At 51.4% G+C, this 15,141-nt stretch overlaps 1 protein-coding gene across 23 annotated transcripts in view, besides 4 other annotated features; it reads left to right on the forward strand.

Annotated features, from left to right (window-relative positions):
* Positions 1 to 15,141, forward strand: part of CTIF (cap binding complex dependent translation initiation factor) — a 324,187-nt gene that overhangs the window by 71,803 nt on the left and 237,243 nt on the right. For 11 of the 23 annotated variants that reach the window (XM_047437965.1, NM_001142397.2, XM_011526279.3 and 8 more), the window contains one exon: positions 8,705 to 8,912. In XM_047437965.1, coding sequence (XP_047293921.1) covers positions 8,733 to 8,912 — 180 coding nt within the window. In that variant the 5' untranslated portion in view covers positions 8,705 to 8,732. Of the gene's footprint in view, positions 1 to 5,422; positions 5,594 to 8,704; positions 8,913 to 14,355; positions 14,404 to 15,141 lie in introns of all 23 variants that reach the window. The other 12 variants (XM_047437960.1, XM_017026100.2, XM_006722586.4 and 9 more) reach the window with 3 other exon arrangements.
* Positions 665 to 1,480: an enhancer, noted in NCBI's record as "H3K27ac-H3K4me1 hESC enhancer chr18:46137869-46138684 (GRCh37/hg19 assembly coordinates)". NCBI's record gives its function as "activates a minimal SCP1, AML or CMV promoter by ChIP-STARR-seq in primed H9 embryonic stem cells {active_cell/tissue: H9 hESC(primed)}" and the evidence as "EXISTENCE:reporter gene assay evidence [ECO:0000049][PMID:30033119]".
* Positions 4,567 to 5,108: an enhancer, noted in NCBI's record as "H3K4me1 hESC enhancer chr18:46141771-46142312 (GRCh37/hg19 assembly coordinates)". NCBI's record gives its function as "activates a minimal SCP1, AML or CMV promoter by ChIP-STARR-seq in naive H9 embryonic stem cells {active_cell/tissue: H9 hESC(naive)}" and the evidence as "EXISTENCE:reporter gene assay evidence [ECO:0000049][PMID:30033119]".
* Positions 7,859 to 8,577: an enhancer, noted in NCBI's record as "H3K27ac-H3K4me1 hESC enhancer chr18:46145063-46145781 (GRCh37/hg19 assembly coordinates)". NCBI's record gives its function as "activates a minimal SCP1, AML or CMV promoter by ChIP-STARR-seq in naive H9 embryonic stem cells {active_cell/tissue: H9 hESC(naive)}" and the evidence as "EXISTENCE:reporter gene assay evidence [ECO:0000049][PMID:30033119]".
* Positions 12,339 to 12,518: an enhancer, noted in NCBI's record as "active region_13288". NCBI's record gives its function as "activates an Ori minimal core promoter by ATAC-STARR-seq in GM12878 lymphoblastoid cells {active_cell/tissue: GM12878}" and the evidence as "EXISTENCE:reporter gene assay evidence [ECO:0000049][PMID:35858748]".

Raw genomic sequence — 15,141 nt, forward strand, 5'->3', positions numbered from 1 at the left:
CCAGGGCTTTGCACAGGGTGGGGGCTCAGGAGGGTATGAGGACAATGGGATGATTTTGGTGTCATCTGTTATTTAGGAGTATCTGTCATGTCACTAACTGCCTGATGTTGATGATTGTAACCCAGAACTGCGCTTGGGGTCCACAGAGCTTAGGAGTCACTAAGGGAAGGAAGGTGACTCTCAGCAGGGGTCCCTGGAGAAGGCAGGCTGTTGAGGGATGTAAAGGCTTGGATCCTGCATTGCAGCCTGGCTCTACCCATAGATACCTGAGTGGCTCCCAGTACGTCATTCCCCCTTCAGCCCCCAAGGTCCCAGTGTCCTCACCTGCGTGGCAGCAGCTGAAGAGCTGTTGAGGGCAGGCAGCATAGATATCAGGAACTACCTCCAACTTGTTCAGACCTGGCAGATGTGCCTGAGCTCCATGCTGGGTGTTGCAGGACTGTAAGCAGGTGCTGTCATGTCATGCGCCTGGCCCTGAGAGTCCAGTGTGGAGGTGGTGGCCCCAGTGTCCACTGATCATAATAACCTGTGGAGGTCATGCCTGGTTCTGAGCTCCGCCCTGGGCCCTGCGTGGGCCATAAGAGGAGCCGCCCCTTCACCAGATAGCTGACCAGCTGGCCAGAAGTTTGGCCTGGGGACTCCACCCATTTCTAGCCCTCTGGCCAGAGCAAGAGTATCTGAATAATGGATAAAGAAGACGTGCAAGATTTTCTAGATCTTGTCTATTTCAAGTGTAGTTCTCTGACTGGCAGCAGCAGCCTCACCTGGGAGCGTGTTAGGAATGCTGAGTCTCAGGCCCCAACTCCCATCCTTGAACCAGAATCTGCATTGTAACAAGATGCCCTGTGATTGTCGTACTCATTAAAGTTTCGGAAGCAGTGCTCCCGGCCAATATGTTTTTCATGGGTAGGTGAAACAAAAGTCCCACAAATTGATAGTTACAATGTGTGCTACATGCTGATATTTTCAATTTAGTTATACATTTTTTAATGCTGAGATCGTGACCCAGGAAATTTGTTTTGCAGCTCATGAAATTGCTGAGACCTGCAGTTTGAACACCACCATGCTAGCTAACACCCTGTTGGATGTTTGAGTGACAAAAGGGTTAATTTGGTGGGGTGACAGGGGATCAGACGTTTAGAGGACGTCAGATGTCCTTGACTCCTGTGACAGAAAATGTTGCCAATTTCCAAGGTCACATGCCTTCGACTTCATGCATTTCTGAACTTTCCCATTTCCCAGGGGTTGGGGACCTGGGGCTCCTGCACATGGAGGCCTCTGCTTCCTCCTGCTTTTCTTTGGCAAACACCAACATGGTTGAATTATCAGGCCAGAGCTTGAGGGCCGCAGACTGTCGGGGAAGTACATTCTCGCTGGAGTCTTGAAGGGGAGTGTGGGCTGGACTGGGGCTGGAGGGACGCGGTTGGCAGTGAGCAGGCTCCCATGGCTTCCTCGGGGAGAGCCTGGGCACCCTGGCCTCTCTCCTCCCCACTCCAGCAGGCAGCATGGCCTCTGGACTGGCCCTGCCCTGGGGGCCACCTGACAGCCTGCAAGGGAGAATTCTAGCCCCAATTGTGCATTCTGGGTGAAGGTGTTGCTCCCACTCTGTGGGGATGGGAAGGAGAGAGGGGATGGAGGGGACCAGGGCCCGAAAGCCAGCAGCCAGCTCTGCCTATAATAGTCACCAGGAGCTGCTTGCTGGAGAGCAACCTGGGAGCACAGTGCTTTGCAGCACCAGGTGACATGGGAAGCGGCCACAGGAAGGTGGGGTGAAGACGCCAGTGGCTGTGATGAGTGGATTTAGCAGCAGGAGAGCAGGGACAACACTCTGGGCCCCATTGCCCACCACAGCTCCGATGCCACCTCCACTGCAGACTTGCTGTTCTGCTGGGACGAGTGGACAGACCTGTGAGCCCCAAGGCTGCTGATCTTACGGTCACCAAGCAAGCCCCCTGCAGCCCCACCTGGGCCCCCTGCAGCGGGCCTGGGTTCCACAGGAGGCTGGACCCCTTGCTGCAGCCACAAGCCAAAAGATGAGCCAGGAAGCAGAAATTGGGGTCTTCCTGGGTTTCCTCAGTGGGGTGTCAGAAGGGTGTGCTGCTGGAGTGAGTTGGGTGCTGGGGGTGGAGAGGAAAGAGCCTGAAGAAGTGTGGGGTGCAGTGCTGCCTCTGTGCGGGCCTCGAATGATGGATTCCCTGAGAAGTGCTGGTAGGCCCTGGAGCAGATGCATTTCATCTGGTTTGCAGGTCACTGAACTCATCCCTGAGGATTGGAGGAGGAGGTAATGCCCCTAATGCCTCGCAGTTCTTAAAAGGATTGGCTAAATTGATAGCTCCTCATGCCGTTTGTCACTGGGTGGGCAGGAAAGGATACTGAGAAGGCTGGGATGGCTCCACTGATTGTCTCTAGCCTGTGGGTGCTCTCCAATGTCAGCCTTACCTTTTCCTCCAGACCTCCTGCCTCTGAAGGTCAGACTCAAAGTCAGACTTGGCCAGGGGTTAGAGGGAGAGACTGGCAACCGACCATCTCAGGCTGCCCCACGGTGTTCACAGAAACCCCTTCCAGAACACTAGTTTCCTAAGGAAGCTACAGAGTGCTGGGCTGAGAGCAGCAAGGGATGGGGAGGAAGGGGAGGAAGGCGAAGGGGAGTTTGTTTGCGTCTAGGGTGGGGAGGGGACGCTAGTGTGGAGAGAGGCACCTTTTTGTCAAAGAACATGGGTGATTTTCATTTTTGTCCTTAAAAATAGCCAGGCTAACTGGGCCGTTGTGACAAGCACGGACTGTGATTGGCTGCAGCAGGAGGTGGGGAGTCCCTGGGCTGGCGGCCGAGTCTGGATGAGGTTGTTTAACAGAGATGCAGACCCAGGAAGAGAGCCTGCATGCATCCCTTTCCCCAGACAGACACAGATGTGGCCAAGCTTGGCGGCCCTGGGTCCTCTCTGGGAAGCACAGGCGAAGGAGCTCTGGGGCAGGTCCTGCTGCAGCCCGGGCCCTCTGTGTCCTCCAGAAAGCCGTGCCCACACCGGCCCTCCCCTCCAGCTGTAGACTCAGGGCTGCCCGCCCCTGTGGTGCCCTTTACAGCAAAGTGCAACCTCAGCATTTTTCCTACTCCTGCTGCTTGCCTTTTAGTTCCTCCTCATCCATCACCTGGCAGGGAATCGGAGCAGAGCCGGGAGAGGAGGGGAGAGGCGTGTCTTTTGTGTTCTTCTACCTTCCCTCTTTTCCTTTTCCTTCTGCCTCTGGTTCCATCCTTTCTTGACTTTCACTGATCATTAAAACATAAATTCCTGGCTGGCTCTCTCAGCTTAGCCAGCAGCCCAGCTGTTTGGGGACTTCCCATCAGGATCCTACTGGGAATGAGACACTGAGCCAGGCTGAAACCCCCAAAGCTCAGGCAGGAAGGCAGCAAAACAAGCCTGGAGGAGACCATCCCTTGCCCTGTGTCTCCACCAGCCAGAGAAAGCTCTACCCTTTTCCTCCACACTCGTCTTGCCTTAAAAATGTGTTGGAACTTTTCTAGGTGGATACCCCAAAGAATAAACAGGGACTCAGAGGGATCGTTGTACACTCATATTCAAAGCAGCATTATTCACAACAGCAAAAGGTGCAAACAACCCAAATGCCCATCAGTGGATGAATGGATAAATAAAATATGGTCTAGATATGCAGTGTACTATTGTGATACGATGTCTTATTCAGCCATAAAGGGGCATGAAATTCTGATACATGTTACAATGTAGATAAACCTTGAAAGCATTATGCTAAGTGAAATAAATCGGTTGTAAAAGGACAAATATTGCATGATTCCTCTTATAGGAGGTACCTGGAATAGGCAAATTCATAGAGAGAAGGGTGAGGAAGAGTTCATTGTTTAGTGGGCACAGAGTTTCTGTTTGGGTTGATAAAAAAGTTCTGGAAATAGATAGTGATGATGGCTCAAAACACTATGAATGTACTTAAAGCCACTGAATTATGTGTTCAAAAATGGTTAAGATTATAAGGTTTTGATTTGTTTGTTTTGTTTGGTTTGGTTGGTTGGTTGTTTTTTTTGTTGTTGTTGTTTTGTTTTGTTTTGTTTTTGCTTTCAGACAGAAACTCACTCTGTCACCCAGACTGGAGTGCAGCAACACGATCATAGCTCACTGTAACCTCAAACTCCTGGGCTCAAGCAATCCTCCTGCCTCAGCCTCCTGAGTAGCTGAGCATGTGCGACCATGCTCAGCTAATTTTTAAAAAAATTTTTGGAAAGACGAGGTCTTGCTATGTTGCCTAGGCTGGTATCAAATTCCTGGCTTCAAGTGATCCTCCTGCCTCAGCCTCCCAAAGGGCTGGGATTACAGGCATGAGCCACTGCACCCAGCTGAATGCTGTTTTATGTTGTGTATATTTGACCATAATAAAAAATTGGGGGCCTAAGTGCCGGGCTGTACTTCCAGGCTGAGAGCTGTGGAGGTGGACGGGCAGAGGAGGGCCATGCTCTCTCCCTCTCTCTGCTCCTTCTTCTCTTGTGACTGAGATGAAGCTTGGGGCTTTTCTGCTTTGCATGTTCCCCGCTTTTCTGAAGCTGGGGCCTCCCCACTCCCTCTCTGGGCCCCGCTGCGGAACAGGGAAGTGATGTATTCTCCTGTTCCCCCTGGAAAACGAGAGTTCCTGGAGGAGCTGAAATCCCTGGGAGAGAGTGAAAAGGAGGGGAGGACCGACAAGTGAGGGGGGCTAGGGATCTGGCGGCCACTGTGGGCCACGGGGCTCACCCCACTCGGAGTTGCTGAGGGACCACGTGGAGCATGCCTGGAATTGTCTGAGACACTGAAAAGGGGAGTATTTGTCCCATTGAGGGCAGCCGCATGGGGCGCTAGCTCCTCATACTCCGGGTTGCAGGTGCCAGGGGCCGGGGGCTTCCTGCAGGCATCTCCTGACTGCAGAGGAAGCCTGGACAGGAGACCCCGGGGCAGCTGAGGTGAGGCGCCGCTGGGCTACCCCATGTGAATCTGGCTGGGCAGCAAACACTAGAGTAGAAGGAATGGCCGAGAGGACGTGAGGACACAAGAGGCACCCGCAGAGCGAGTCCTCTTCCTTCCTCGGGGCACCAAAAGGCTGCAGGTTTGGGATGGGTCTCAATTCTGTCCCCTTTCTCGGCAACTATTATGGGTTTGGGGTGATGACCATGCCCAGGCTCCCTCATGGGACCCTGACACAGCCCTGAGACACTCGGGCATGTTTGGGAGAGCCCCGCAGAGCCGGCCAGAGGCTGCTGCTGCAGGCAGAGCCTGGCACTCAATCCTCCTGGAAACGGCTCCGTGTAGAGTTCCTGCAAAACCCGGTTCTCCGACTGCACCTGTTAGGTGTGCCAGGGAGCCCTTGATAAGATCTGACGTCTTCCAGGAATAATGGGCGTGGCCTTGTGTATTGACTTCTCCTGCAGGTGGCTCCTTTTCAGCCCTCTCTGGACATCGGCGGTTTTATTCCCATCCAGCGGAGGCCAGCTTCCCGGGGCCAGGCACGGAGCCTGCTTGGGGCCAGCTCTCCGGAACCTGTGCCCAGCTGGGGAATAAGCACATGCTCAGCACTTGAAGAATTCACTGCTCACTGGCGAGTCAGTATGGAATTGGGGAACTTGGAGGTGGCCTGAGGGACTGAGCAGGCCACCAGGAGTGGGGATGGAGAGAAGGCAGTTGGGGTATAGGCATAGTCGTGCAGACCTGGAACTCTCCTGTGTGAACTTGGGCAAGTTACTTAATCTCTCTGAACCTCCGTTTTCTCTTCTAAGTAGCATAATTATGCCGATTCCATAGGGTTGCTGCGAAGGTGAAGTGAGTGGAGGCAGATCAAGTGCTGACGTGTCTGGGACATGACAAAGGCACAGCAGACACTCGTCATTCCTACTATTAGCAGAAATTGCAGCATTCATACCCATAGCCAACCCTGGGTGAATCTTTTGCTTAGTAGCCTGCCATGAAACCAAGGCAATGCTCTGGCCTTCTGTGCATATAAGGACCTCTAGATTTGGCAGGTGGAGGGAAGGAGAAAATGCTTCCAGGTGACAGGTTCAGTGTGAGCAAAAGCACAGAGGCAGGAAAGAGCGTCCTGTGTTCATTTTCTATTGCTTCCTAAAAGTTTACTACAAACAGCAGCATAAAACAATAGCATTCATTATCTCACAGTTCTGTAAGTCAGAAGTCTGGCACAGCGTCTCATGAGACTGAAGTCAAGTTGTTAGCCAAGTTGAATTCTTAGCTGGAGGCTCTGGGGGAAAAGTCTGCTTCCAGGCTCATTGGTTCTCAGATGAATTTACTTCATTGCAGATGTAGGATGAGGTGCCCACTTCCTTGCCAGTTGTTGACCAGGGATTGCTCTCAACTACTAGAGGCTGCCCACATGCCTTACCATGTGTCTCTTTTCCTTCAAGCCAGCAACAGTGCATTGAGTCTTTCTCATGCTTTGGATCTCTGGCTTCTTCTGCTGTGCTGAGCTCTAGTCCCAGATTTAATGGGCTCAAGTGCTTGGGTCAGGCCCTCCTGAATAGTCTCTCTATCTTAAAGTCGACTAATTTGGGATTTAATTTTGTCTGCAAAATCCCTTCCCAAGGGTATCTAGACTCCTGGAGAGTAACTGGGAGAGGGTGTATACCCATGACTGTCTTAGAATTCTGTCTGCCACACCTAGCATGTGCCCAGGATGAGGAGCAGAGTAGCCAGGGGCTGAAGCAGGGGATGACTTAGGTGTGGGCAGCTGTGGAGCAGGAGGAGTAAGGTGGGTGCTGGTGGTGTGGGGAGGTATAAGGTCCTGTAGGCTTTGAGTGGCAGGTGCAGGAAGAGGCAATGGACAGTACCTCCCATGCCCCTGCCTGTGGCCCTTGCCACCAGATGTGCATAGCCCAATCCCAGCTGACTCCCTGAGGACCTGCTGCCACCCTTGCCTCCACATCTGGTTCCCTCATTCTGAAAAGGGCACCGCCTTGGCCTGAAACCTCCAGTCCGCTGATTCCTCCCTCTAGGATGGGTGAACAGACCCACAGCTCCAAGGTTGCTGAGCTCAGGGGGCCCAGAGCGAGGCCCTGCAGCACCTCAGAGCTCCCTGCAGCAGGCCTGGGGTCCGAGGGAGGCTGGGCCCCTTGCAGCGGCCAAAAGCCTAAAAATGAGCTGGGAAAGCAGAGGAAGATGTGTGCACAGCAGGGCGGTTCTCCTTCCCCCGGGCAGTTCTTCCTCTCCATTCCCTCACCCTCGGAGAAGGCAGTGAGGGTGTGGGAGAGTCAACATTCATGCTCTCAGCAGCATTTCTGGAACCCAGCACACCATTCCTTGCCCTGCTTTGGACTCGCTGCAGTGAAAACACTCAACAAACCCTAGATTATTGGCAAATAACTGTGTTCCAAAGAAGTTCTCAGGGTTAAGGTTCTGAGGTTCAAAGTTTTGAAATTCAAATGCTCCATTAAACCTGCTAGGACCTCGCCTTTATTACTGGCAGCAGCATTCACGCTGCTCTATATGGCTTCAGAGCCCTGTGTGTGCAGGATTCATGTCTTCTCTGTGCTTTCTTGTGGTAGTGGTTTGGTAGAAGTCTGTTCTACTAGTTGTGATACTAAAAGCATGTGCAGACTCTGTTTTCTCTGGCAGATCAGGATCTTCCATGGAAATCACAGGTCTCCAGATAATAAAAGAGGCACAAGGCAAGCTTTAAATCCCCTTCCCATCTAGCCTGGAGCCCATCAGAGGAAGGGGAGGGTCCCTGGCCTGGAGGTGAGAAAGGTTCTAGCTTTCCTCACTCCCAGGTGGGTCAGGTGGGAGCTTCGGGGGATAAGCAAGGGAGCGGGGAGCAGAGAGGGCGGTGGCGGTGAGGTCCCAGCAGACCTGGGCCCCTGCAGGGCTGGGTTGAGCACATCAGCTCCAGAGATTGCAGTTCTGTTGGTGGACTTTAACTAGTGTTCCAGCCATAGCTGGTCATCTATGCCGCGCTGCCCCAGAGAGAGGGTGCGAGGGCTAATGGGTTAGTCATGCCCCTGTAAAGGTGACCAGGCAGTGTCTGTGGCTAGGCCATATCAGCATAGACAATGCAGCAAGCCTTTCTCGTTCTGCCAGTGAAATCCAGTCACGTTCCTGCAGACTCACCATAGGTGTGTTCCAGTAGCTGCACCAGAGCAAGGCTGCAAAATCCTGCTTATAAGTTACGGCCCATAGGCTTCAACTAATTTAGGGGACAGTCTGGTGACTGAAAAGAAAAAGTCTCCTCTTAAGTAGTCATTTTCTTGGAGGACCTGAGCCCCTCAGAGGTTTGTGTCTCGGGCCCCATTGTGCACCCTCAATCTTGGTTCTGTTGTTTATTTCATCCTGCTTTGTGGTAGATTCTGTTAAATCTGAGTCAGGAAGTGAGGCTTGGCCTGTAGGCTGAGCTCATCTTCTGCCTTTCCCAGCGATTAAGGCCTAGGTAGACACTAACTCTGACACTGCACAGTGCCTGTGCTGGCCAATCAGACAAGTGGCCTGCATTCCCTGGGCCTCAGTCTCCTGCCCTACACAGTGGGAATTACAGCACATAGTTTATGCTGAGGGCAAGCCAGCCCCTCGCTGACTTCTCAGGGTTGTTGGAAGAACAGAACGCCATGATGGATAAGAAGATGCTTCCAGGAGCAGAGGGTGTTTCTCAGGTGTGGGCATCGTCGTCTCCTCCAGCAGCGTCTCACGGAGTTCTCTGTCCTCTTTCCCACCAGTCCCGGCCCAGGCCCCTGAGCTGGAGGGATGGAAAACTCCTCTGCAGCATCAGCCTCCTCGGAGGCAGGGAGCAGCCGCTCCCAGGAGATCGAGGAGCTGGAGCGCTTCATCGACAGCTACGTGCTGGAGTACCAGGTGCAGGGGCTGCTGGCTGACAAGACGGAGGGTGATGGCGAGAGCGAGAGGACCCAGTCCCACATCTCCCAGGTGAGCGCGGGCCCGGGGTTGGGGCAGCTTGGGAAATTCAGAGGGGGTGATGCAGGAGCCCCTAATTCTGGGCAGCATCCAGTTGCCTGACACTAGACCGCCAAGGCATGAATGGTCCCACCCAGCAGAGCACCCAGAATCTGGCAGGTGGGCTTTGGGATCCAGGCAGGAAGTGCCCTGGCTGTGCACCCCGTCCCTCTAACCCACCTCCACTCCTCCCTATCCAATGAGGCTTTGAGGCCCAGCCAGGCCCACATGTCTTTGAACATACGTCTCTTGAGTACTGACTATGTGCTGAACGCTGTTCCCTGTCCTCAATAAGCTTATGTTCTAGGAGAGATCTGGAGGTTTCGCTTCTCCATAATGCATACCATCAAAGAACTATAACTTGTGAATATTTTCTGTGATTTCAAATACAAGTAGTTGTTGGTAGCCAAAGGAATGATTGTTAGTAGCCAAAGTCTCGTGGGATTCTCACCCAGGGCTCTGTATGTCAGACATACTTAGACATATGAGGCAATCCAACCAGCGTCATGTTTGGTCCTGCACCCTCCTGCCTCAGTCTGTGGCATCCCTGACCTTGGAGGGGAGATGGACTCATCTGAAAGATTGTGAGCTGAGATTTGAAAGTCTTGGCTTCTCCCTCATAAAGTATGAATGCATTAAGGATAGGGACCCTATCAAGCATATCTTTGCCTAACACCACAAATCCTCAGCAGATTTTTGTTCAAGAGCTGCTTCCAGATTGGCTTCTAGCTGCCAGTGTGACCTTGGGCAGAACCTTCAATGTCTGTGGGGCTGTGTTTTCTTATCTGGCAAATGGGAATTATGCTGTTGCCTCGGGAATGTTGGAAGGTCAAAGACAGTAAGAAGTACAAAAGCTGCAGAGAATCAGTGCTGCCTGCACAAGCATGTACAGGAGAGTCCCCTGTCTTATCTGGAGTCAGGGTTCTGGGGATCCGCCTCTCGTGCGTGTTATCCCATCTCCAAGCCTGGGACTCCTGGGACAATCAGAAGGTGAGCTACCTGGGTGCACCCTGCTTTGGGAAAAGGCTGAGTCCAACCACCTGGCTCACTTTTTGGGTGGGACCCCTAGCTTTTTAGAAGCCAGAACAAACTTTTGGCTTTGCTGGAACTCAGACCAGGAGTCACTCTGGGAAATGCTGAAGCCACAGTAATCCCATGCCCTGTCCCCACTGGGAAGCAGGGGACAGAAAATAGTCCTGAGGGAGAAAAAAAAAAATAGATGTGATGCTTTCTTTAGTGTCCTTGAGGTTCTAAAATCACAAGTAATGCAAGCTTATAATTTGTTTGTTATTCAATCCATGAGTGTTTAACAAGCTTCTATTCTGTGCCAGGCACTATTCTAGGACTCGTATCTAGGATTGAGCAAAAAAGCCCTGCCCTCATGGACTGTGTATTCTACTCGTGGATGATCATTGCGATGGAGAAAAGTAAAGCGGAAAATGGAACGGGGAGTGAGGAGGAGCAGGAGGGGCTTGCAGTTTTAAGTAGCGTAGTCAGGGAAGCTGGCATGGAGGGGAGGGAGGGGTGGGTAGTGGAGATATCCGGATAGGAACATCTGGGCAGAAGGACCAGCCTGTGCCAGGGCTGGGCTGGAAGAAGAGTCCGGGCCCAGCCAGGAGGCCAGGGTGCTGGAGCAGAGGATGAGGGAGGGAGAGCTGCGGAGATGAGTCAGAGGGATGATGAGGACTGTGTCGTCAGGAGGTGCGAGTCCTGAGCCCTGGAGTGGCCCCACATGAGGAAGAAAGAATGTGAGGAGAAGTGAGCCTAGAGACCAGTGAGGCAGGAGGGAACCAGGCTGCTCCTGGAGCCCAGGAGGGGAGTCGAGGGAGTGGGATGGGGAGACTGCCTTGCGGGCCACTGCCAGGCCAGGTAAGAGGGGCTGAGAATGGCTGACTGAGCAGGGGGCCGTGACGGGGAAGTTTCCACTGAGCGGTGAAGGCAGAAGCCTGCCTGTGGCCAGCTCAAGGAACAGAAGGAGATGGCCTGGAGACTAGGAGAATAGTACAACTGTTTTGAGGAGTTTAGCTGTAAAGGGGAGAGACATGTGGTGGTATTTGGGGGAAATAAGGTCAAAATAGGAGCATTGACCTGTGTGTTCAATCCAGGGGCAAGTCAGGGGTTGCTGGAGCCCTGGCCTATCCCCAGCCCCCAGCGGTTCATCCACAATGACAGGAGGGAGTGGCAGGTGTGGGGCCGCGCATCTAAAATGGCTCCTGCAGCACAGCTGTGGTTTCTCTCCAGCGGCTTGCGGCCACGAAGGTGCAGAGGCAGAGTTACAAAGATGACTTTAACCAGGGTGGAGGTTTCTCCAGGGAATACAGTGGAGGAGAGAGGGGTGAGGGAGGCACAGGAGTGATGATGGTGAGTCACCTGGATGCTGAGCCAGGCCAGGACGGGAGTGGGTACCTGAGGTGGTTGTGGAGGCTGACAGGTGGTAGGGTCAGTGGATTGGAGGCCACCCAAAGAATTGTAATCCTGGTAGCAAAGAGACTGAGCTAGAAAGATGGTGGGGGTGTGGCGTGTGTCCAGGAGTGGGGTGTTTGAAATCAGAGGTGGAGGAATGCAGTCATGGGTCAGGAGAGGGCTGGGTGTGAGCATGGGAGTGTGTGGGGGAGAGGGAGAGGCCAGGAGGAGAGCGGGTCGTGAAACTCAGATCCATCTTCATGGATCTTGAAATCACCAAGAAAGGACAAAAGGATGTGGGAAAGGGTGGCTGTGATACAGGAGAAAAGTCCTTGAGGAATGTGGGAGCAAGGTGGTGGCTGGGTGGCCTGGCGGTCTACAGCTGACCGCATGGAGGGTCTTGTCTGGTGGTGCATTAACTTATTTGCATAATCCTTTTTTTAATATACAAACTATGCTTATTGCACAGCTAATAGTACCATGATCTGAAGTGGAAGGAGGAGGAGGATTAGGATAGATTGGAAAATTGTAAGGGAAATTAACCTCTTTAGATTGTCTAGGGCAGGAACTAAGTGAACCAACTTTTGCAGTCCCCTGGAAGCCCCTAGAGCTGACTTCCCCAGGAGCAGGGCCTGTGGATGGGCATATGGGCTGGCTGGGTACCCCCTGTTGTGGGCTGCCTGCCTTTTCAGCTGTGTGGCATCCAGGCCTGCAGCAGGGCATCCTCCAAAGGTTCCTCCAGCTGAAATTTGCTCTACCTGGAGGAGCCAAGGAAGCCTCAAAGCTTCACCCCAGAGGTATGCGTGGCTGATGGTAGAATTTCTGTGCCCAGAGCAGCCAGCGGGGACATAGTTTTGAAAGGAGGTGCCCTCCCAGCGCTTTCAGTCTGGGCTCTGTGCTTCTGGCACCAGCTCCAGGGATCAGTGGGGCCTGACTCACGCTTGGATGCCCCCATCTGTGTGGCGGGCAAGGCAAGGCTGTGGAGGGGCTTTCAGACTGACGTCTGCTGTGAAGTGTGGTGTGGAGAACACCTGTGTGGTGTGACATTTGGATGCATTCTCTAAACTTTCTTCATGCTCTGGAATTCCCTCGAAGAATGCAGACACCTGGCAGGATGCTGGGGCCTGCAGGCCTGCCTGCTGCTGCCGGAAAGGGAGGATGTTTCAATCCTGCCCCTACCGCGCCCCTGCCTCCCCGATCCCCACAGTCACACACACACCTGGGGTACCGACTCTGGAAGAGGGACGGCTGTGGCCCACTCTCAGGAAGGCCAGGGTTAGCTGTGTCTACATAAGATACTTTTTAAAAAAATTCTCTATTAACACAGCTTTATGGGAAATATTTCTGCTAAAGCACTTTGGCTTGTTTTTTTTTTTAATCTGATGACTAGTTTAAATGGAAGCCAAAAAGAAAAAAAAAAACAGCAAACACTCAGGGAATGTTCCTGTCTGCCTGTGTGGTATTTTGATGTTTCTGGGGAGGAAATTTGTTAAGAAGCTTGGAAACCTTGAGAAGACCTGAGGGAGTGGAGAGGAATGTTGCTCTTCAGCTGGTGAGGTCATTTTTTAGGATCTGAGAAGTGACAGTTGACACTCAGGGAGAAAATATCTCATGATGTTTGTACACTTGTGTTCCTCTCGTCCTTCCCAGTAACAACTAGAAAGAAATGAAGGATGGATGGATGGATGGATGGATGGATGGCTGGCTGGCTGGATGGATGGATAGACAGACAGATAGATAATACATAGATAATAGATAGATAAGATAGATAGATAGATCAGTTTTCCTGTCTCTTAGATGAATAACCAAGACAATGTGTGTTTTAAGTTTGCCAACATTTTCTGGATGCCATGTTTAACATCATACCTCTCCCCATGCTTGACACCACGCCCCTCCCCATGTTTGACACCACGCCCCTCCCCATGCTTGACACCACACCCCTCCCCATGCTTGACACCACGCCCCTCCCCATGCTTGACACCACGCCCCTCCCCCGTATTTTACATCGTACCCCTCCCCCATGTTTCAGGAGCACCTGCTGTCCAATAGATTGGAAGTCCCCACAGTCACTCTATCCTTGGGAGGAGGAGGGATTTTAGCCCTATTCTAAAGGAGGGAAACTGAGGCACAGAAATGGAGCATGGCCAAACCCCACTGCTGGGTGGTGGCTGAGCTGGGCTCTGGAGCCCCATCCCCACCCCACCTACTTCTGGTTTCCTGCTCCGTACAGGCCATGACTGATTGGGTGTTGGGTGGTTAATATAGATTTCTTTCCTATAGAAAGAAAATTAGGTCTCCAAATCTCATTGACCACTAATCTTTTGGGGAAGAGATTAGGATGTTGTAAGTGGGGAAAATTTTGGCACATGTGATGTTCGTGGATGATCTAGTGGATCACCAGAAAGCTTGGAAGCAGTATGCAACTCTGAGCGAGCATGAACTCACTTAGGGAGCTGTGAGAAATACTGATGTACAGGCCCCACTGCTAGAGATGCAGGCAAAGGTGAGGGGCCTGGGCCTGAACTATTCATAAGCCTGTGCATGACTCTGATTGCCACAGTGGGAGCAGGGCTGTCTCCTTTCTCCCCCTCCATGGCCTGCTGCCCCGATCCAGTCTCTTGGAAAGATAACATGTAGGAACCCTATGAAGATACATTTAATGACAGCATAGTTTCCAGTAAATTCTTGTTAAGGGGTCAAATTAAGAGCCAGTGAGAGTGAAGATCACTTCCTATAGCCCTATTTTGATGCTTTCCGGCACTTGGAAACCCTGGGTTTCATCTAAAATGCAGTGATCTTTACAAAGGGGTGCAGCAGTGGCAATGAATAGGATAGGGTGAGAGTGTTCAGATCGGCTCAATGGCTTTTCCTAACAAGTTTCTCCTCTTTCTCTTTACGTCTCTCCTTTCATTCTGCCTTCCCTGTTCACTGTTCCCTCGCCCTTTTTCTAAAATCCCATCTCTTCATTTCCTTCTGCCCTTAAATTCATTTTTCCTGATGTCTTTGCTCACAGGAGGAAGTACTCAATGGTGGACCACCCATGAAAGGCTTAACAGAAGAAGTGAGTTTATAGGAGGACTGCGGGGTGGTTCAGCATGGGGGATTTATTATATATTTTCCCCTTATTTAAAAAATGTATTCTAAATTATACAAGTACTTTATGCATACATTCCCATAGTGCACAAGAATTCAGATATTAATAATTAAATTCTCCTGAGCTAAAATTATTTTAAATTATACAAGTCCTTTATGCATACATTATCATGGTACATAAGAATTCAAATATTAACAATAAAATCTTCTGTGCTACCACCTCATTCTGCTCCCTTACTCCTACCTCCCATCAGATGAGTGAGTTCATTTCCTTGCCTTTTTTAATGCCTTTCCTGACATAGGTATGACTTGAAGAAATACAATATTGTCAAATCATATATCATAGCCAGTGGATATATTGTTCAATAACTTGCATTTTTCACCTGCCCACATGCCCCAGAGATTCTTCTGGGCTTGCACATCTGCTGTGTTCCGTTTAGTGGCTGCCCAGTTGTCCATAGCATGGATTTATTTAACCATTTGCTTAATGGTAGGCACTCAGGTTACTTCTAAATTTTCCCCTGGAAATACGTGATACTTCAACACATACTGTTGAACATGCCTCCTTCTGCACAAATAATGGAGTTTCTTTAGTTAGATGCTGAGAAGTAAAATTAATTTTAATAGCTGTTGTTAAAGTGCTCTCCAAAGATCTTCCATTATCCATACTGCCACCAGTGTATTGGGACATCTTGTCATTTTAATT

The sequence above is a fragment of the Homo sapiens genome, chromosome 18 (assembly GCF_000001405.40).
Source record: "Homo sapiens chromosome 18, GRCh38.p14 Primary Assembly".
Lineage (NCBI taxonomy): Eukaryota > Metazoa > Chordata > Mammalia > Primates > Hominidae > Homo > Homo sapiens.